The sequence below is a fragment of the Homo sapiens genome, chromosome 8, assembly GCF_000001405.40.
Source record: "Homo sapiens chromosome 8, GRCh38.p14 Primary Assembly".
In the NCBI taxonomy this organism is placed as follows: domain Eukaryota; kingdom Metazoa; phylum Chordata; class Mammalia; order Primates; family Hominidae; genus Homo; species Homo sapiens.
Genome location: NC_000008.11, coordinates 120,166,054 through 120,187,570, shown reverse-complemented (window position 1 = coordinate 120,187,570; position 21,517 = coordinate 120,166,054). Strand labels below are relative to the sequence as shown.

Sequence of the window (21,517 nt, the reverse complement as noted above, 5' to 3'; positions counted from 1 at the left end):
ACTAATTTCCTAGATGAAATTTATTTATTTTTTTGAAAATCTATTTAGTGTTTATTATGTACCAAGCACTATTCTGAGCAACTGGGAACACAACAAAGCTCCCAACTTCTGGCAGTTCAAATTCTTTCATTTTATTTTGACTCTTAACACCACTCGGTGATTAAATTCTTAGTGAGAGGAAATAGACTATAATAAAGGACATAGGTTCAGATGCAAAAAAGCGCTTTATAAAAGTAAACAAAATCATACAAAGAGTAACTCTATGTGGGGGCAAGGGGTAATGTTACTGTAATGGCAATAGTATGAAATTACCAAATTAAAAATCTTCCTTTTAAACAATATTATTGGTTTTGTTCTAATGGTATTCAAATTAAAGACCCAATTATGGTTTATATAATGAAATGTTTACAATGCATTTTTAGATAAAGGTATTTATCAACATAGTCAGTGAAGATAGAAAGGACGGAGCTGACAGAAGATAACTTTTGCTGCCAGGTAAACTCCTATTCATCCTTCAAAACCCAGGTTACACTTTACCAACTCCATGAATCTTTTCCTACTGTCCTTAGATGGAACTCATTACCTGCCCCTCTTTATTGACTCTGGATTTGTACATTTTTTTTGTGCCCATCACACTGGAATATTATGACTGGCTTCCATTTCTATCTGCCTGACTAGACTGAACTCCTTGACTGGGGAGGACTTTTGTAACTTGTCTTTTTAGCCACTTTATCTGGGTCATCTCTTGACATACAGTACATCAGTGTAGGTAAACTAAATTGAATTGTGTTGTTAAAAAATAATTCCTCTGTTCACATAGTTCACACTTCCAGCAGGGCACTAGAGAAATGAGCCATGATGGCTCAATTAAATGTGTTCTCTCCTCCTGCCCTGCCACACTACCGCACTGGGAAAGTGGATTACAGTTATTTAGGAATCAGGGAGATTGTATCAAAGTGGCCTGCCTTCCTTGATATTTTCCTAATGCTGGAGGCTAAGTTGAACGAAAGGAGAGTGTGTACTATTTTTATTCACCCTGTCTTAACCTCAGTCAGAAAACCTCACAATGATTTCACCACAACTGGTCTAGGATTCATTTAGGGGCTTTGAATTATTTTGTTCTATGCCACTAGCAAAATATCAGCCTCAGCCATTCATTACACAAGACATTTGAAGGAATACTGTGGCCACAGAACGATTTTTCACTTAAGTCTCCTGTGAGGTTACATTCAAGTTTCCAAACCAAGAGCAAAAGAAAATCCCTAAGAATTTGGTACAGTAGAACTCTTGGAAGCTCACTGTTACTGTGTAGAGATTGGCTCCAGCCACACTACTGAAGATATTTTTATAAAAAGAGTTAAGGTCATTTTACATTGCCAAAAACTCAACGAGAAACTTTCATTCTGAAAGGGTTTTTCAATACATTGGCAAAGTCTGACTTTTACAACATTCCCATGAGAAGCCATGTTGTCCCCATTTTTCAGAAAATTAAATTGAGAGCAGGGCGTGGTGGCTCACGCCTGTAATCCCAGCACTTTGGGAGGCTGAGGTGGGTGGATCACCTGAGGTCAGGAGTTCGAGACCAGACAGGCCAAATGGTGAAACCCCATTTCTACTAAAAATACAAAAAATTAGCTGGTCGTGGTGGCAGGCGTCAGTAACCCCAGCTACTCAGAAGGCTGAGGCAGGAGAATTGCTTGAACCCAGGAGGCAGAGGTTGCAGTGAGCCAAGATCACGCCATTGCACTGCAGCCTGGGCAACAAGAGCAAAACTCCATCTCAAAATAAAAAAGAGAAAAAAGAAAATGAAATTGAGGTTCAGAGAGGACAAGTGACTGACTTACTAGTTACCGGCAGAGCTAGGACTGGATAACAGCTATTTTTTTCTTCTTCTTTTTCTCTTTTCAGAGACAGGGTCTCACTCTGTTACCCAGGCTGGAGTGCAGTGGCGCAATACTAGCTCACTACAATCTCGCATTCCTGGGCTCAAGTGATCCCGCCTCAGCCTCCTGAGTAGCTGGAACAATAGGCACACATCACATGCCCAGTTAATGTTTGTTTGTTTGTTTTTTAATTTTTGTAGAGATGGGGTCTCACTGTGTTGCCTTGGCTGGTCTCGAACTCCTGGGCTCAAGCGATCCTGCAACCCTGGCCTCCCAAAGCACTGGGATTACAGGTGTGAGCCACCTCCACTGCACCCAGCCACAACAGGTCTTCTAAATGTTTTGTCCAATATGTATTTTCCAACATATCACACTATCACTACCATGGAAGTTGTCCTCACAGAATGCAACACAGATGGTCACTGCTGTGGGAGACAACATCAGAAGCCATCCATGTAGGGGATGTGCAGCAAGGGGCTCATTTCAGCTGTGTCTGGAATTTACATTAATCTGAGTGAGGTTAATACCCATTTAATCCAATCGTGGGTGGAAATGTACCTTTCAAAGCCTCCCTGACAGATGCCTGCCCTATCTAAAACAGCACTCCCGTGACTCACTCCTTTTATCCCTGTTTTATTTTTCCTCCTATAACTTCTGTCTTCCTAGAAATATATTATACAGCGTGTGGTTAATTTCTTGTGCCAATTTGACTAGGCCATGGGGTGCCTGCACATTTGACCCAACATTACTCTGGATGTGTCTATGAGAGTATTTCTGACTGATTTTGGTAGACTGAATAAAGCAGATTCTTCTCCCTAATGTGGATGGGCCTCTAAGGGATTGCAGACTGAAGAGAACAAAAATGCTGAGTAAGAGAGAAGCCTGCCTGACTGCCTTGAGCTCATATGTTGCTTTTCATGCCTTGAGACTTGAACTAAAACACTGGCTCTTGGGTTTTGAGCCTGCCAGTGTTTGGATTAGAACTTATACTATCAGCTCTCCTGGCTCTCAGGCCATTGGATTTGAACTGAAACTACATGGTCACTCTCCCAGATCTCCAGCTTGATGACTGCTGATTTTGGGATTTCCCAGCCTCCATAATCACATGAACCAATTCCTTATATTAAATCAATATCTCAAGCCAGGCACAGTGGTTTGTAATCCCAGCACTTTGGGAGGCGGAGGCGGGCAGGTCACTTGAGGCCAGCAGTTTGAGACCAGCCTGGCCACTATGGTGAAACCCCATCTCTACTAAAAATACAAAAATTAGCCAGGTGTAGTGATGTACACCTGTGATCCCAGCTACTCAGGAAGCTGAGGCACAAGGATCTCTTGAATCTGGAAGGCAGAGGTTGCGGTGAGCAAAGATCACACCACTGCACTCCAGCCTGGGCGACAGAGCAAGACTCTGTCTAAAATAAATAAATAAATAAATAAATAAATAAATAAATAAATAAATAAATCTCTTCCCCCCCCACACACACACCACAAACACATCTCACACATACACACACACTTTCCTTTGCTTCCTTTTTTATATTAATAATTATGAAAAGCCTACCACTTAGTGATAGCTTTCATCAGATGCTCTGCATACATCATTTTCATCTAAGTCCAGTATTAATCCTATGAGGTAGATGTTCTTCCCATTTCATAGAGAAAGAATGGTTAAGTAACTAAATAGGTTAAATAACGTGTCCACCATCACACACTGAGCAAGTGGAAAAGCTGAATTCAAATTCAAACCCAGAACTAACTCCAGAGCCTGAACCATTCAACTCCCATCACAGAAGAGAAGTATTTCGGAGAAAGGAAGGGAGGGAGGGAAGGAAGAAGGAAAGAAGAAAGGAAAGAAAATATGGACAAGCCTTGCAATTAAAGATAGCAGGAAATCAAAGCCGTACGCATTTGTCCTATATTCGACCTGGGATGAATAACATCATGACACCTTATAGGAACATGAAGCCTGGTTGTTGTGCCACAGCCGAAACAACATTTCAGCACTCGCTCAGAGACCTTCAGCTTAAGAATAACTAACAATCCTGTAAACACCACATGCATCACATTTCTCCTCTGCTCTAAACTGGAAGGGACTGGGAGAAGACATGACAGCTGTCTTCAAATATGTAAAGGGCTGTCATATAGACAAGGGATTAGGAGGATTCTATATGCCCAGAAGGAGTGTGTAAAGTGACAGATTTCAACTCAATTACAGACAGGATGTCCAAAGATGACTGTCTTGGGAAATACTAAAATCTCTGTTAATGACAGCAGATGCAGGACAACCCTTGAAGAAATGGCTCAGGAGCCTCTACCATCCCCGTGACTGGCTGAACTGCAGGACTCTCAAAGTGACCTAAATTTTAAGATTATTTCTTCCTTCCTCACCTACCAAATTAAGCCTAAACTGTTCATTGTGCTTTCCAAAGCTCTCCACTTGACCCGTCCATGTATATCTCCCACTTCCTCCCAATACAATTAGTCTTCTTTCTCCCAACAACATCTCAGAAACTTTTGACTCAATTTTTATTCCCCCATCTCCTGTAATGTACCCTCTCCAAACTCTTCCTACTCTACCACAATACAAGATACCTAAAACAGATTTTAATTCCTTTGAAAATATGTGATCCTTTTATATATTTTTACATAAAGTTTGCTTTAGGCCGGGCGTGGTGGCTTCTGCCCGTAATCCCAGCATTTTGGGAGGCTGAGTCAGGCGGATCACCTGAGCTCAGGAGTTTGAGACCACCCTGGGCAATATGGTGAAACCCTGTCTGTACTAAAATACAAAAAATTATCCAGGCATGGTGTCACACGCCTGTAGTCCTAGCTACTCGGGAGACTGAGGCATGAGAATCACTTGAGCCCCAGGGGCGAAGGTTGCAGTGAGCTGAGATCACGCCATTGCACTTTAGCTTGGGCTACAGAGTGAGACTCCACCTCAAAAAAAAAAAAAAAAAACGAAGAAAAATAAAAAAAATTAAGTTTGCTTTAAAGTTTTATTGGTAGAGTTGCCTAGTTATTTCCTGATTTCCTTAAGTTAATATTGACCCAAGAGAGGCTATTTTATCTGATCACCTCTATTTTAAAATGAAATTTGCTCAACTTCAGGAGCCAGTGTATTATATTCCCATTTATTTTCAGCTCTGTGTATATAATACTACATGATCTGGCTGTATGTTTACTTTGGTCATTTAAGGTGATTTTCACAAAACACAACTCAATTATCCCGGTTACTCCAATTCATTAATAACGAACCAATCCTGATATTTTGCAATTTCTGAAGCCAAAACATCGCTTAATTTGACAACAGTCAGCCCTGCAGGTATGGAGACAAGATACTCAATAGAAAATTCTTAGACAAGAAGGAAGTTACAAGTAAGAGAAGCCCGAGCATTCCTACGGGAGACTCACTCTGCCAAAATCAATATCAGTCCTCATAGCTGTAAGGTATCTGATTGTTTTAAAAATGATATATTAAAAGTTATTTTAAGAATGAAGACATTTGAAAACTTATTTCAGACAGAGTTAAGATTTCTTACCACTGGAGAATTCACAAGTTGAGAATAATAAACTTTGCTGGAGGCCAGAGGAAAAGTGTCAGAATTATTCAAAACTATCTTATCAAGGGCAGTAAGGGAGGAACTAGAGGAAAACTGGAGGTCTAACGCTAGAAGAATTTCATCTGATTGTCATCAGGAGTGCATAAGCATAACTTTTCGGGGAGGGGGGTGACGGGGAGGAGTGTCATTCTGTCTCCTAGGCTGGAGTGCAGTGGTGCCATCTCGGCTTACTGCAACCTCCGCCTCCCGGGTTCAAGCAATTCTCCTGCCTTAGCCTCCTGCGTAGCTAGGACTACAGGTGCATGCCACCATGCCTGGCTAATTTTTGTATTTTTTGGGGGGGTCTATGTTTCAAAAAGAAAATGTTATGGAATGCTCAGAGAGCAGAAGTGAGGGGAGAAAGGGGCTAAAATTGCAGGAGAACCTTTCTGTAATACATGTGTTGCATTAGATCAATGTTTCTCAACCATTTTTAGTTATCACTCCCATAAGAAGCCTTTAGACATTTTTTCCTAATCACCTCTTCATGAAATTTTAAAATCACAGGTATACCATATAGCTGTTTATGTATGTATTGTATACTTATACTTAACAGATAAAATAATTAATATTTTTCACTTTTCACTCCCAAAATCAATTTTTGCCCATTCAAGGATGTCACTCCCATTGAGAGTGTATGTGTTACATCATTGTTTGTAAAAGAAAATTGTTTCTTCCTGAAACCCAGAGCAACTTAAGGCATCATTTTAAATGTGGTCTTAATGGTCAAATTATGCTCCATATGATTGAAACTTTACTTTTTAAAAATTCTTCAATTTTTTCATGATGTGGCAGAAACAAGTTCATCTTAATAGTGCACATTTGGGAGATAATCTAAAGAGAATTGTAAAATATTTTAAAGCTCCCCATAGTTGACTTAAATGTGTTTGCCCAATTCCATTCTCAATCCAGATATCTCAGTTAGGGCTAATGCCATCCTTGCAGCTCCTGGTGTGGCCAGTCAGATTCTTGCATTTCCTTGTTCACCGCAATTGGATCAGAGATGGGCACAAGAGCTGGACCAATCAAAACTGTTCTTGAGATGTTTTCTGAAACTAACCTTAAAAAAGGCTTCATAGCCCACCATGCAGTAGCTCATGCCTGTAATCCCAGCACTTTGGGAGGCTGAGGCAGGTGGATCACTTCATGTCATGAGTTCGAGATCAGCCTGGCCAACATGGGGAAACCCATCTCTACTAAAAATACAAAAATGAGCTGGGCATGTTGGGGCCCACCTGTAGTCCCAGCTACTCAGGAGGCTGCAGCAGGAGAATCTGTTGAACTCAGGAGGTGGAGGCTGCAGTGAGCAGATATTGTGCCACTGCACGCCAGCCTGGGAAACAGACCGAGACTCCGTCTCAAAAAAAAAAAAAAAAAAAAAAAAGGCTTCCTACCATATGAGATTGGGGTTGCTCACTATTATGTAATTCTGGAACCTGAAACTCTGGGGGGGACTTCATTGCCATTGTAGGAACCCTACCAAGAAATAAAGCCATCCCAGAGGAAGGCACAGCCAGGAGATGGAGAAGCAAGAGAGAGCAACGGATACTGGATTGAGACCCTAGGTCCAGCCATACTTCAGTTACATGAGCCAGTACAATTATTTCTGTCCTTAAACTAGTTAGAGTGTGTTTCTACTGAAGCCAAGGATTCCTGACTAATATGCTGTCTAGAATTTTTCAGTAAAGGTAGATCTTAAACCAAGGAGAAATGAAGTCTAAAAAAAGAAGAGAAATGAATCCCACACAGACTCTGAGAAAGAAAACAGTATTTCAATTAGCTCTAATGAGGACCAATAAATAAATGGTGGGAATTCCAAATTTTATAACATCAGTTGGATTCTTACATTTAAGTGAAAACATTTAAAATATGTTACAGAATAGTAGTATTCCCAGTGGAGAGAAATCATGTCTTATCTTCATTGTCATGGTTTCAACTAAGTCAATTAATATCACTTTTTAAAAACAGAGGTTTTGCCTAGGTTTTTTTCTAGTGTTTTTATGGTTTCAGGTCTTATGTTTAAGTCTTTAACCCATCTTGAGTTAATTTTTGTATAAGGTGTAAGGAAGGGGTCCAGTTTCAGTTTTCTGCATATGGCTAGCCAGTTTTCCCAACACCATTAAATAGGAAATCCTTTCCCCATTGCTTGTTTTTGTCAGGTTTGTCAAAGTTCAGATGGTTGTCGATGTGTGGCTTTATTTATGAAGACTCGCTTCTGTTCCATTGTTCTATATATCTGTTTTGGTACCAGTACCAAGCTCTTTTGGTTAATGTAGACTTGTAGTATAGTTTGAAGTCAGGTAGCGTGATGCCTTCAGCTTTGTTCATTTTGCTTAGAATTGTCTTGGCTATACAGGCTTTTTTTTGGTTCCATATGAAATGTAAAGTAGTTTTTTCTAATATGGTGAAGTAGTTTTTTCTAATTCTAATGGTAGCTTGATGGGATGGCATTGAATCTATAAATTACTTTGGGCAGTATCACCATTTTCACAATATTGATTCTTCCTATCCATGAGCATGGAATGTTTTTCCATTTGCTTGTGTCCTCTCTTATTTCCTTGAGCGGTAATTTGTAGTTCTCCTTGAAGAGATCCTTCACATCCCTTGTAAGTTGTATTCCTAAGTATTTTATTCTCTTTGTAGCAATTGTGAATGGGAATTCACTCATGATTTGGTTCTCTGTTTGTCTGTTATTGGTGTATAGGAATGCTTGTGATTTTTGCACATTAATTTTGTATCTTGAGACTTTGTTGAAGTTGCTTATCAGCTTAAGGAGATTTTGGGCTGAGATAATGGGGTTTTCCAAATAAATAATCATGTCATCTGCAAACACAGACAATTTGACTTCCTCTTTTCCTAGTTGAATACCCTTTATTTCTTTCTCTTGCATGATTGCCCTGGCCAGAAATTCCAATACCATTCAGGACATAGGCATGGGCAAAGACTTCATGACTAAAACACCAAAAGCAATGGCAACAAAAGCCAAAATTGACAAATGGGATCTAATTAAACTAAAGAGCTTCTCCACAGCAAAAGAAACTATCATCAGAGTGAACAGGCAACAGGCAACCTACTGAATGGGAGAAAAATTTTGCCATCTATCCATCTGACAAAGGGCTAATGTCCAGAATCTACAAGGAACTTAAACAAATTTACAAAAAAAAAACCATCAAAAAGTGGGAGAAGGATATAAACAGACACTTTTGAAAAGAATATATTTATGCAGGCAACAAACATGAAAAAAAAGCTCATCATCATTGGTCATTAGAGAAACTCAAATCAAAACCACAATGAGATATCATCTAATGCCAGTTAGAATGGCAATCTATTAAAAAGTCAGGAAACAACAGATGCTAGAGAGGATGTGGAGAAATAGCAACACTTTTACACTGTGGGTGGGAGTGTAAATTAGTTCAACCATTGTGGAAGACAGTGTGGCATTTCCTCAAGGATCTAGAACTAGAAATACCATTTGACCCAGCAATCCTACTACTGGGTATATACCCAAAGCATTATAAATCATTCCACTATAAAGACACATGCACACGTATGTTTATTGCAGCACTGTTCACAATAGCAAAGACTTGGAACCAACCCAAATTCCTATCAATGATTGACTGGATAAAGAAAATGTGGCACATATACACCATGGAACACTATGCAGCCATAAAAAAGAATGAGTTCATGTCCTTTGCAGGGACATGGATGAAGCTGGAAATCATCATTCTCAGCAAACTAACACAGGAACAGAAAAACACATACTGCATGTTCTCACTCATAAGTGGGAGTTGAACAATGAGAACACATGGACATAGGAAGGGGAACATCACACACCAGGGCCTGTCAGAGGATGGGAGGCTAGGGGAGGGATAGCATTAGGAGAAATACCTAATGCAGATGATGGGTGCAGCAAACCACCATGCCACGTGTATACCTACGTAACAAAACTGCACGTTCTGCACATGTATCCCAGAACTTAAATTAAATTAAAAACAAACAAACAAAAAAAAAAACAGGTTTTATTTAATACTCCAGAGAACTGAAGAACAAATAACTGCATGCACAGTGAGATCTCCATCATTTAGAAATGGGTTCAATAAGTCCTTTTCTTCTTATTTGGCTCTTTTCTTCCTATGTGTTCCCCATTTATCTTTTGAAATTTTAGTGTCCTACAGTTTTACCAACATGATTATGGATGTGGCTATCTTTTATGTTTATGCTCTTCAGAACTCTTTATGTTCATTTGGTCCCTTTTCTAATCTACCTATTTTCCTTATCATGGTTTTTCATTCTTTTCATCTCTTCTTTCAAATATTTCTGAGATTAGTAATCATATTGTTATTTATATATAGTCTATATATATAGTGTGTATGTATATATATATATATATAGTCTTTTTATATGTATACAGTCTTTTTTTTTTTTTTTTTTTTGAAGCAGGCAAAGTCTCGCTCTGTCACCCAGACTGGAGTGCAGTGGCACGATCTCAGCTCACTGCAACTTCCACCTCCCAGGTTCAAGCAATTCTCCTGCCTCAGCCTCCAGAGTAGCTGAGATTACTGATGTGCGCCACCACTCCCGGCTAATTTTTGTATTTTTACCAGAAGCGAGGTTTCGCCTTGTTGGCCAGGCTGGTCTTGAACTCGTGGCCTCAAGTGATCCACCCTCCTCAGCCTTCCAAAGTGCTGGGATTACAGGCATGAGTCACTGCACTAGGCCCTTACTATATAGTCTTTATGTAATGATTCCATAATTAAAGTTCATAGAATTCTGAGGCCACCACTTTTGTGTCTTCTGACACTTATGGCAAATAGTTTACTTCTATGTTTTGAAATTGTGAATTGCAAACTCTCCTTTGGCCTTGTTTCATCAGGCCTTGGCTCAAATGTGATTTTGTGTTTGCTTCTGCCAGTCATTCCACTGATTTTACCAGCTGCAGGGCATTTTTATATTAATTTCTTGAGTGGGCAGGCCTCAGAGCACATGGTGAATGTAAATTTGAATACCTAAGCTGTGTGTGGCACAGGCCCAAGGTTATGCATTCTCAAGACTTTTCCCTCACTCAGGGCACAGACATATACAGAGTGGCTTCCTCAGGGCCTCCCTGCATGGATAAGGAGCAATTTTCTAGTTCACCTTGATGTTGTTGCTGGAACACCATGTCAACTATCTAGATAATAATAATTATAATAACAATGAGAATAAGGAGGAGAAAGTGGGAGGAAGAAAAGGAAAGGGAGGAGGAGAAAACTGGGAAAGAAGAAGAGGAAGAAGCACTAATAGAGCATACTCTATGATCCAGGTATCCTTCAAACCCCTTAATGCATAAATTCTAGCCCACACTTAACCCCAATGTCCTGTTTATGACTGAACCCAACTCCTTCCCCTTTAATCTTGGAGTGGAGTCAGGCTCTTGCCAGCATTAACCTACAAGACCCATCTAGTTCCCTGTACTTTAGCTACCTCCTGACGCCTACCTAATGGAAATTAAAACCCTAACAGTCCCATTTTTACCATGTTGAACTCACAGTCCTGGGTTTGCCAGATCTAAGTCCCACAATAGCTAGTGGAAAGGTGTTAAAATTTCAAATCAATCTCTTGACTGTGAGCCAAGAACCATAAAAGTATTAATGGGAGGTGAGAGATCCCAGTAAGTGAAAATATACCTCAAAAATACTCATGTGCCCAGGCTACACTCAACCATAATGACTGCATAATTCAGAACTGGCCCTTCTCCAAGAGAAGGCATTGAGCACATGTGTTGAGCCCTGCTAGATTATGTAAGCTCCATGAGGGTAGAATTCTGCCTCCCATGCTCACCACTTAATCCCCAGAAACTAATTCAGTGCTTGACACTAGGTGATAATTACCAGCTCTTCTATGTATTCATTATTAAATCAATAATATAAACCATTGGCCCATGATAATCTTAGCTCTTGCAAAATATACATGCTATTATTAACAGCAAATATTATGCTATTTATATATGTATTTAAACTATTTTACGCATGTAGTAAGTGCTATATATAAAATATGTGGCACTTACTATATACTAGGTATTTTACACATTTTAACTCAATCTTCACAACTAACTCCTGAGAGTTCTCATGTTTCAAGTAAAAAAGAATCAAATATGGGAGTATAAGAGGTAGAAATGTTCAAAGGTAGGTATGTGTATATATGTATTTTTTTATGAGTACAGCCTATGCAATTATGAAATAGCAAAATAGAACAGTTGTCCTCGGAAAAGCATTTCATTACTTGGTTTAGTGAAGGATTGTGTGCCAACACATTCAAAAATTTTAAACATTCTAAGACAAAGATAAGCAAACTTTTTCTGAAAAAAGCAAAACAGAAAATATTTTAGTCTTTGCAGGCCATATGATCTCTGTTGCAAATACTCAACTCTGATATTGTGGGACGGCAGCCATAGACAATATGTAAAGGAATGAGCATAGCTGTGTTCCAATAAAACCTTATTTTAAAAAATAGAAGACTGAATTTCGCCCATGGGCCATAGTTTGCTGACTTCTGGAAAGAATAATTTAAGCTCATCTCATTTTTCCCCCAGAAAATGAGAACACTGAGAGTCACCCCTTATATCACCGTAGAGACTACAGTATTTTAAAAAATCCATTAAAAACAAAACAAAGAAGGCTGGTGATCTTAATTTTAAAAATCACTGAAAAAGAAGGAAAAAAAAGCCCTATGCTGTTTTTCCTATCAGTCTCTTAATTATTTCCAATCAGGTTCTGCATTCTTGTGCAAAACTCCAAAAATGATTAAAGAAAGCTGTTTGGACAACGATAGAGAAATAGCCATTAATGCAAATGTGCCAATATTATGCTCAAAGGCAAGTACCATTTTTGTTTGTGAGTTCATTTTGCATTATTAAAGAAACATGTACAGTAGATTGGAAACAATCTTAACTGTAACTTTAACTGCACAGCCACTTCTGTTAAGGATCTTAACTCTGCGTTTAAACTAAAATTGTAAAATATGTATAATACGTCTGATTGTATCTCAGCCACTATCAGTGTAGACTCTTATACAAGAAAATTGTAGATTTCAGGGAAAACAAAGAGCAGTATAGTTAAATGTGGATCACGAGAGTACCACGACTTGGAGGAGGGGCTTATGCTAAGGGTTGCATAAACGACCTGGTTGGGGTGGAGCAGGGGCATCTTTTGTCTCCAGTGGGCCACACTAGTGCATGCCCCTCCACCTCCTAGGAGCCGTAACTCTGTCCTGGATTGTCACCATTGTTTATAACTTACTTCTTAAGACAATTCTCTCACATAACCAGCGCTCTCACAAAGTCCTCACTGCCCTGGCACACACCTCATGGAAACCCTCATCTGAAAGAGGAAGACACCTATTTTCCATAAACCTCCTGAAAGTTCTTGCCCTACCCCAAGTTCTCATCACTACAATAAACCCTTTGAGATAGTGCCTGCCTGAAAGTGGGCTCAGAAAGAACTCCTCCGTAAACATATGTTCAAACATATCTCCAGTGAGGAAGGAAATGGACTGCTTATGAATCTTCCTTCTCCAAATGTGTATTGGTATTTATTAGAACATTTGCCAATAGTAGCCTCACTCTTCCGTTGTCTACTTCTTAGTTTTAATTTGTTTCACTCAATCCTAGGTTTTGGAAAGGAAAGAGGAAGGTGCGTTAGGGGAAAGAATACAGCAGTTGAGACACTTTAGGAATACATAGCTATAGCTAATAAATTCTGACACCAAACTCTAATCCACAGAGGCTTCCACAGATTTCACCTTAAACACCATTGTTTAAGCATCAAGTGGCAAAAAAAAAAAAATGCCAATCCAAACCCACAAACTTCCTTGTAAAATTCTCCCTTAAAAATATTAACAAACCTATTTTTACAAAAAGAAAACATACAAAGGATAAGACGGAAACTAACACATTTGATTATATAGGAGGGGCAAGTAAAACTGGATGGAAGGAATAGCAGATGTGATACTTCTTTTTCAGTGTCATCCTTTTGTAGACTTTTCAACTTCTGGAAATGTGCCAATGTTTTACATACTCACAGATTAACTTAACTGTATTAAAATAAATAAGAAAACCACAGTGAATAGGCAAGAAAAGAACTAATCCAAGATCCTTTTGAACACAGATATGATATACCTTAGACTAAAAGCAAACATTGAACTCGTTAATAGATTTGTTTGTCTTTTTGCAGTATGCACAGATTAGCAGTTCTAAAACTATTTCTATGATTGACCATATGAGTAGATATATTTAGAATATTGGGAGCCATGTTTCTCACTCTCTTGAAAGAGGAGTTATAAATATTAGAAGAAGGAGGGCTAAAATAAACCCTGTGGTATGGGCAAAAGATAGATATAAGATGCAGTAAAATAGATAGATAGATAGATAGATAGATAGATAGATAGATAGATAGATAGAGACAGATAATACAAAGATGATAGATGGATGATAGATAACAGATGATTGATAGATGATAAATGATAGATAGATAGATAGATAGATGATTGATTGCTAGAGAGCAAGAGAATGAGAGAATGAGAGACAGACAGAGAGATAATGGTATGACACTCCAGAAGCAATAGGCACAGCTAGTACCCATATTTTGGTTTCAAAATACTATTCTCCACAAAAAGAAGCCAGGACTCCTGGAAGAAATGGTTCATTTTAGGGCCAGGTAGAAAAAATACAAGCGCTCAGAATGTAAAGTTTGTGCCAGAAAGTAAGAAATAACTTAAGGGATGATGGGAACATATTTAAAAGACATAAGAGACAGCATGAAATAGTTCCCGCCTAGCAAATCTGGAACAATTTGAGCATCATAATAAATAATGATAGTAATGGATTATAATCCACTCAAATAAACTAAGAATCCACCAGTCCATACTCATATGAAAAGAAAAACAAATGTGGGAGAAGGGAGAAAGCTTCTTTACAGTAGAATGCCAAATAATAAATGTAGAATGAAAAATGGAGTTAGAAAAATTACCATTTGAGAAACATCATAATAGTTACTGACTCAGGCAAGAATCAGTAGACACTAAAACAAGTAGGTGAAATTTTAATAAGAAACAGAATATTTACATGTCTCAAAATATCTCATCATAAGCTACTTACTTACTGCAAGGGAAAATATATATCTGGTAGATTTCACCTTAACCAGAAATTTATCAATCAAGACATTAAGCTGTAATAGTCATGCTGGAACGGGAGACAAGACCTTAATGCATTCAAGGTGGGAAGTTGTATTTGATAGTTCTTATGTAAGGGAGGCACCCTCACAGGGCTATATCCTTACAAATTGCTGGACTAGAAAAATAACTGCTTTCTAGCAAGGGAGATGACAAGGAAAGTTGTACATTGGCCTAAGCTCTGTGTGGGGGGAAAACTGTCTGTCCTGTGAATTTGTAACCAAGCCCTGAGTATCTTAAGACAAGAAATTAACATAGAGGATTTCCAGGTTAGTAGCAACCAAAATGTGCCCTTCTGAAGGAGCACACCCTTAAGACATGCTGTGAACAATTTCCACATGAGTCCACAAGCCAAAGTGACACATCATCCTAAGAAACCAGCCCCATGAATGAAAGTCAGTATAAACAAGCAACGAGAATTTAACCCTAACCGGCTGCGGTGGCTCATGCCTGTAATCCCAGCACTTTGGGAGACAGAGGCAGGTAGATCACCTGAGGTCATGAGTTCAAGACCAGCCTGGCCAACATGGTGAAACCCCATGTCTACTAAAAATACAAAAATTAGCTGGGCATGATGGTGGGTACCTATAATCCCAGCTACTCAGGAGGCTGAGGCAGGAGACTCATTAGAACCCAGGACGCATAAGTTGCAGTGAGCCAAGATTGCACTACTGCACTCCTGTCTGGGCAACAGAGAGAGACTCCATCTCAAACAAACAAACAAACAAACAAAAGAATTTAACCCTAAAATACTTTAATAATAGAATTATTGAATTCAGAATATAAAATGATCATGATTAAAATATCAAAATGATTAAAAAGTTAAAAAGGAACCAAGCACCATAAAAAATTCTAGCAACCTTGAAAAAGAAGCAAATGTAATTTCTAGGACTAAAAGATTTCCCCATTGAAAAGAACAGGCTAGATTAGAAAGGGGAAGAGATCTAGTGTCCTAAAAGACAGATATAAGGAACCCAAAATATTATTTGTAAAATCAGAGAGGTACAAAATATTACTATTAAAAGACATAGATTGTCAAAAGAAACTGTCATAAATCTAATTGAGATAAAGAATATGAATATAAGTTGCTGAGAAAAATAATATTTAAAGAGTTAAAGGTTAAGAATTTTCTAATCCTGGTGAAAGATATAAATCTGAAATCTGGAAGCACAAAGAAATCTACATCTGGGCTGATGACAGTGAAGCAGCAGAACCCCAAAGATAAAAGACAGCAAGCCTGAAACGCAACCAGAGAGAAAAGAGAGGTCACCTACCAAGGAACAACCTTTAGACTGAAAACACACATGTCAACAAAGCAACAGGAGCCAGAAGGTAGTAAAATGTCTTTGAAATGATTAGAGACAACTCTTAATCTGGTACCCAGCTAATCTCTCAATAGTGACTGCAGAGTAAAGATATTTTTGCATGAATAAAGATAAGTTTACCACCACAGATCTTCTGTGAAGGGAAGTGGATACACAGAGAAGGTCTGAGATGCAAGATGAAATGGTGAGCAAAATAACTTCGTGGGCAAATCTGGACAAACACTGATTGTTAAAGAATATCTATAATAAATATATTCAATAATATATTTGTGAGGCAAAAAATAAGTTAATGTATTTGTCAAGAATGATGTGTAAGATGGGACATTAATCATTGAATTTAAAGCATTATTAAATTCTATATTCTGTATTATAGGGAAATAGTAAAGATATTGATTAGTATTAGACTATGTTAGCTTTTCCAGGTCAGTAAGTGCTAAAATGGATTTAAAGAAAAAAGAAACTTGGTCAATTTTAAGTAAGGTGTAAAGGGGGAAAAAAGATAAGAAAAATGTAGGGTAATAGCACAAAATAAATAGTAAGTCCAAAATTATCAGTAACATCAACACATTTAAGTAAACCAAAGCTATCAAGTAAAACACAATGACTGTAAGAGAATTTTTTTAATGCAAATAAATCTTCTTTACAAATTACTCACCTTGAACTTGAGACACAAAGAGAGTGAAAGTTAAAGAATAGAGAATCAATGCATTATGTGAGTACTAAATAAAATAAAGGTGGTATAGCTATATTAATATTAGATAAAATAGTCCTTGAGGTGAATATTGAATTACTAAGAATAAAAAGAATCATTACAAAATATCAAAAAGAAAAATTGACTAGAAAAATACAATAATTCTTATTTTTATGTATCTAGCCTTTAGGTATTTAAAACAAAATTGCCAGAGTTACAAATAGAAATGGACTAATACCATCGAGGGAAATTAAAATGCACATTTTTCTCAAGGACACATGGAATGGTTTTAAAAACTGACCACATTTAAGTAATAAAATACCTCAACAAATTTCAAAGAATATTCCTACAGACCCCATTCTCTACCCACAATGCAATAATTAGACATCAATAATAAATAAATATCTTCTTCTAAAATCTCCAGATGTTTAGAAATTAATAGCATATTTCTAAGTAACTCATGGATCAAGGAAGAAAACCTAGTGAAATGTAGAAAATAGTATGAACTACAGCATAACAATACTACATATCAAAATCTATGTGAGACAGCTCAAGCAGTACTTGGATATTTTAAAATGCATATAATAGAAAAGAAAAATTAAAAATTAAGGGATAAACACTCAACTCTGGATGTTAGAAAAAAGAAAATACAATGAAGTAAGTATTAGATATAAAAACACAAAAAGATATCAAGAGGAGCTATAAAAATATACACATGCAGCAACTAAATAACTTGACTCCAAGGTATATGCTCTAGAAAAATTCTACGACTTGTACAGAAGGAGACATAAGCAAAGATATATAAAATTTGAACTTTGTATAATTAAATATGTTTTAAGCTGGCAAATATATATGAAGTAAAATGATAAAGACATATTGGAATGATAAAAACTGACTTCAGCTTAGTGGCAGCCTCCTACAAGACAGGAAGGGGAATTTATAGGAATAAGCAATGAGTTTTAACTGTATGGTAATAGGTTTATTTTCTTAATCTGGACAAACATGTCTATGACATTATTTTTATACATTTTATATCTAACATATTTAATAAGTTGTAATAAATATAAATATAAACCTATACATCATTAGAAGAAAAGTATGAAAATGTTTCATATTAAAATATTAGAAAACCAAGAAATGCATCAAAATTCAGAGTAAAACATTTTTCAAGAATTTTTTAATTGTATTAAAAATTATCAAAAAGATGAATAAAGTTGCAAGGCAAATTATACACCAGGAGAAAATATTTGCAAAAATACAACAATATGTAGAAAAGGGTTTCATACTCAAAATATTTAGAAAGTTTTTATGTGTTCATTAAAGAAATAAAGACAACACAAAACAAAAATAAACAGGAAAAATTACAAATGACTACTAAAGATATGAAAAAATGTTCAACCTCACTAGTAATCAAAAAGATGTAAATTAAACAAATGATATATAATTGGAGAATTTTTTCAATATTAAGGATTTCAAATGTTGAAAAGAACATATGAAATAATTCCTGTTACATATCGTTAACAGAAGTACAAATTACTGAAAAAAATTTAAGTCGATATTGATAGAGCCTGCCATCTATCAATTTGGCAATCTAAAATTTGCTTATCCTTTAACCTTGCAGTTCCACAGTTAGAAATACGTTGTTACAGCATGTTTGTGATAGTGAAAATTAGACAACATTAAATGCCCATCAAAAGGGGAATAATCGGCAGGGTGCAGTGGCTCACGCCTGTAATCCCAGCACCTTGGGAGGTAGAGGAAGGTGGATCACCTGAGGTCAGGAGTTCGAGACCAGCCTGGACAACATGGCAAAACCCTGTCTCTACTAAAAATACAAAAATTAGCTGGGCATGGTGGCACGCACCTGTAATCCCAGCTACTCAGGAGGCTGAGGGAGGAGAATCGTTTGAACCCAGGAGGCGGAGGTTGCAGTGAGCCGAGATTGTGACACTAAATTCTAGCCTGGGTGACAGAGTGAGATCCTGCCTCAAAAAAAACGGGGTTGGGGGGACTAATCAATAAATTATAATAGTCTATCCCATAGAACACTATCTGGCTATTAAAAAGAATGAGGTAGACTAACAATAATACCTAACATTATTCAATGGCAGGCAAAGTTCTAAGTATTTTACACATATCAACGCATTTTATCCCAAAGAACTCTGTGATCTGAATCCCATTCTCCACATTTTGCAGATAAGGAAATAGAGACATAGACATTCGGATAACTAGTATAAGATCACTCAAAGTGGTAAAGGCAGGCTTTGAATTTAGGCAGGCAAGTGGGAGAGCCCATGCAATTTACACTGGGTGATCCTGCCTCCTATATGAATTGGCATGTAAAGGTTTCCAAGTGAAAAGGTATGCACAGAACAAGAAATATGACAGGCTGTACATATATGCACCATTCTGAGAAAGGTGCCTGAAAGGTCACGTGCCAAGTGGTTGGGGGTCATCTTGTGTGGGAAAGGAAGGAAGAGTACAAAGAGGCCACAGGCGATCTTCGTATTAGACCTGCCCTTCTTAGATGGGACCAGCAACCCCACATGTGAGTATTGCCTGTGTAATTAAAACAACCCAACTCCCAATATGAGTTAATTAAAATCGTCTCTGACCTTCTGGTGAAGATGGTCTACTCCCATTTCCTCTGTCCACAACTTTGACTCTGGGCTTTGGATCCTTTCTTTTTTCTAAATCTTTAACTGGAAGAAAAGTAGAGATACAGCACCATGTTATACTAAAATCTAAAAGAAAATATTCAGTGAGTTTTACTAAAACCCTTGAAAGCCCTAAAAGTATCTATAGAAATGAGCTCCGTGGTACAAACTCATCCCCAAATATTAGAACTGCTGTTTTGTTTTGTTTTTTCTCAACTTTGACATGAAAAGACACAGAAACACTTAAGGAATTACTTTGGCTGAGTATGCACTATGGGCAGATGTGTCACATATATTTAATCCTTCATAACTGCTGTAAAATCAGCATAATTATCCCTAGCTTATACATGAGGGAATGAAGAACCAGAAAGCTAACACCTATCTCATAAAACCAGTTAAGTGCTGGCATGGGGTTAAAGCCAGATCTTCAAGTCTCTGGACTTAGCCGATGAGCTTGGTCCCCATTCTAGAAAGATCTTAACCATGAATAGCCTCATTTGGAATTGCTCCAACAGCAAAACAAGAAGATGAAGAGCCTTATAATAATTCCTTTTCAAACTTAAAAAAAGGTCTCTATTAATACATGGTAGTTTTTTATGGCTTTAATTAGAAAATGTTCAAGGACCAAAAAATGCCCCTTGGCCTTTTAATAAATTCATATCAACCTACACCATTAGCTTAACTTTCCACTGCATTCTCTCCTTAAAACTGCACAGCTGCTTTTCTGCCAAATAGCACCTCAGGCTGTTTGAAGCAGTCAAGAGCCTGCCAAATGTCAGTGGTCTCTGCACAAATAAAACACCCTGTGAAAATGCAGAAGTGAGCCAAGGTATTTCAATTAATTGCTACATTCATTTCATGGAAATCAGCAAATGTATTAAAGGGTAAGCTACATAGGGGAAACAATGATTTCCTCTGAACCACCCTTGCTGCCTTCTCCAGGATATTGTTCCATTCATCCTGTCTTTATCACATCCTCCTCCCCTTTCTTTCCACTGTCTTCCATCCCTTTGCTGAAATGGTTTGAGATCTGTCATTTGCCAAGGTCATGTCACTCCAATTCTATTATTCCTTTTCTTAGAAACCTTCCTTGGCTTTCTGCTACCCAGAGATTAAATTCCAGGATATAAAACAAAATTTTAAAAGATTTTAAAAATAAAAATGTAAGATACCTTGATCCTGATATGTATAAATTTTTATAACAATTTTTTAAAACCTCATTCACCGACTTCTTGATAAGCATTGGCACTTTGGAGCACCCCCACCACCACCATCATCACCACCACACACACACACACACACACACACACACACACACACACACACACACTTAAATTCTTTTCTTTCTCAGTTGTTAGAATGGCTTTATCCTGGTTTTCTCCTTTTGACCACTCCGTTTCATTCGCATTCTTTGGGCTCTTTCTCTATTACTATTCACGAAACACAATCATATACTAAGGTTGCCTTGTGTCTCTCTACACCCTCCTGTAATTTTACCATCTCACAATTAAAATTCTCATCTTTTCATAGATAATTTCCAAATCTGTATCTTCAACCCCACCCACACATGGGCTGTCACCCCAAATTACTTGCATTTTCTAAAACAAAATATGTCTGCCACTTTAATATGAGAAAGATTGTGCTGAGTGATGCTGGAGGTAGAAATAGCTCTGGGAAAGACTAGTAATAAATTCAGAGGTAGAGACTTAGAGAAACTTCCGTTTTGAGTCAGACTTCCAAAGAAAGGCAGGAATTTGCAGGCAAAGATTGACAAGACACATTTAAAAGAGAAAAAATTTTCCAACATAGAATGTGGTGAATTCTTATAAATTTTATGTTGCCTCAGCATCCATTTTAAATATAAGTTGGACTTACTCATACTAGAAACAGGCTCAGTCACCCTTGACACAGTTTCCAGTCCTACAACATACCCTAAAGCACTAGTTCCTAAATGTGGTTAATCCAGATATCTGCCTTAAACAACTGCTCCCTGCCCATCTTTCAAAGTCTAGTTCAAATGTCACCTTTCCAGAGGAGTTTCTGCCAGTCTCTACTCGGGAGTTACTCTTATTATTCATTATTCTCTCCTAGATCTATTTCTACCTTCTACTTCTCTATGGGAGAGCTGCACACAGCCCACCTGACTGGCCCC

General features: G+C 37.6%; 1 protein-coding gene across 11 annotated transcripts in view; it reads right to left on the bottom strand.

Annotated features, from left to right (window-relative positions):
- COL14A1 (collagen type XIV alpha 1 chain) overlaps window positions 1-21,517 on the bottom strand; it is a 249,120-nt gene that overhangs the window by 186,003 nt on the left and 41,600 nt on the right. For 8 of the 11 annotated variants that reach the window (NM_001413490.1, NM_001413491.1, NM_001413493.1 and 5 more), the window contains one exon: window positions 19,324-19,410. The exons of the other annotated variants lie outside the window; for them this stretch is intronic. In NM_001413490.1, the coding sequence (NP_001400419.1) occupies window positions 19,324-19,410 (87 nt within the window). The remainder of the gene's footprint in view (window positions 1-19,323; window positions 19,411-21,517) is intronic. 11 annotated transcript variants of the gene reach the window in all.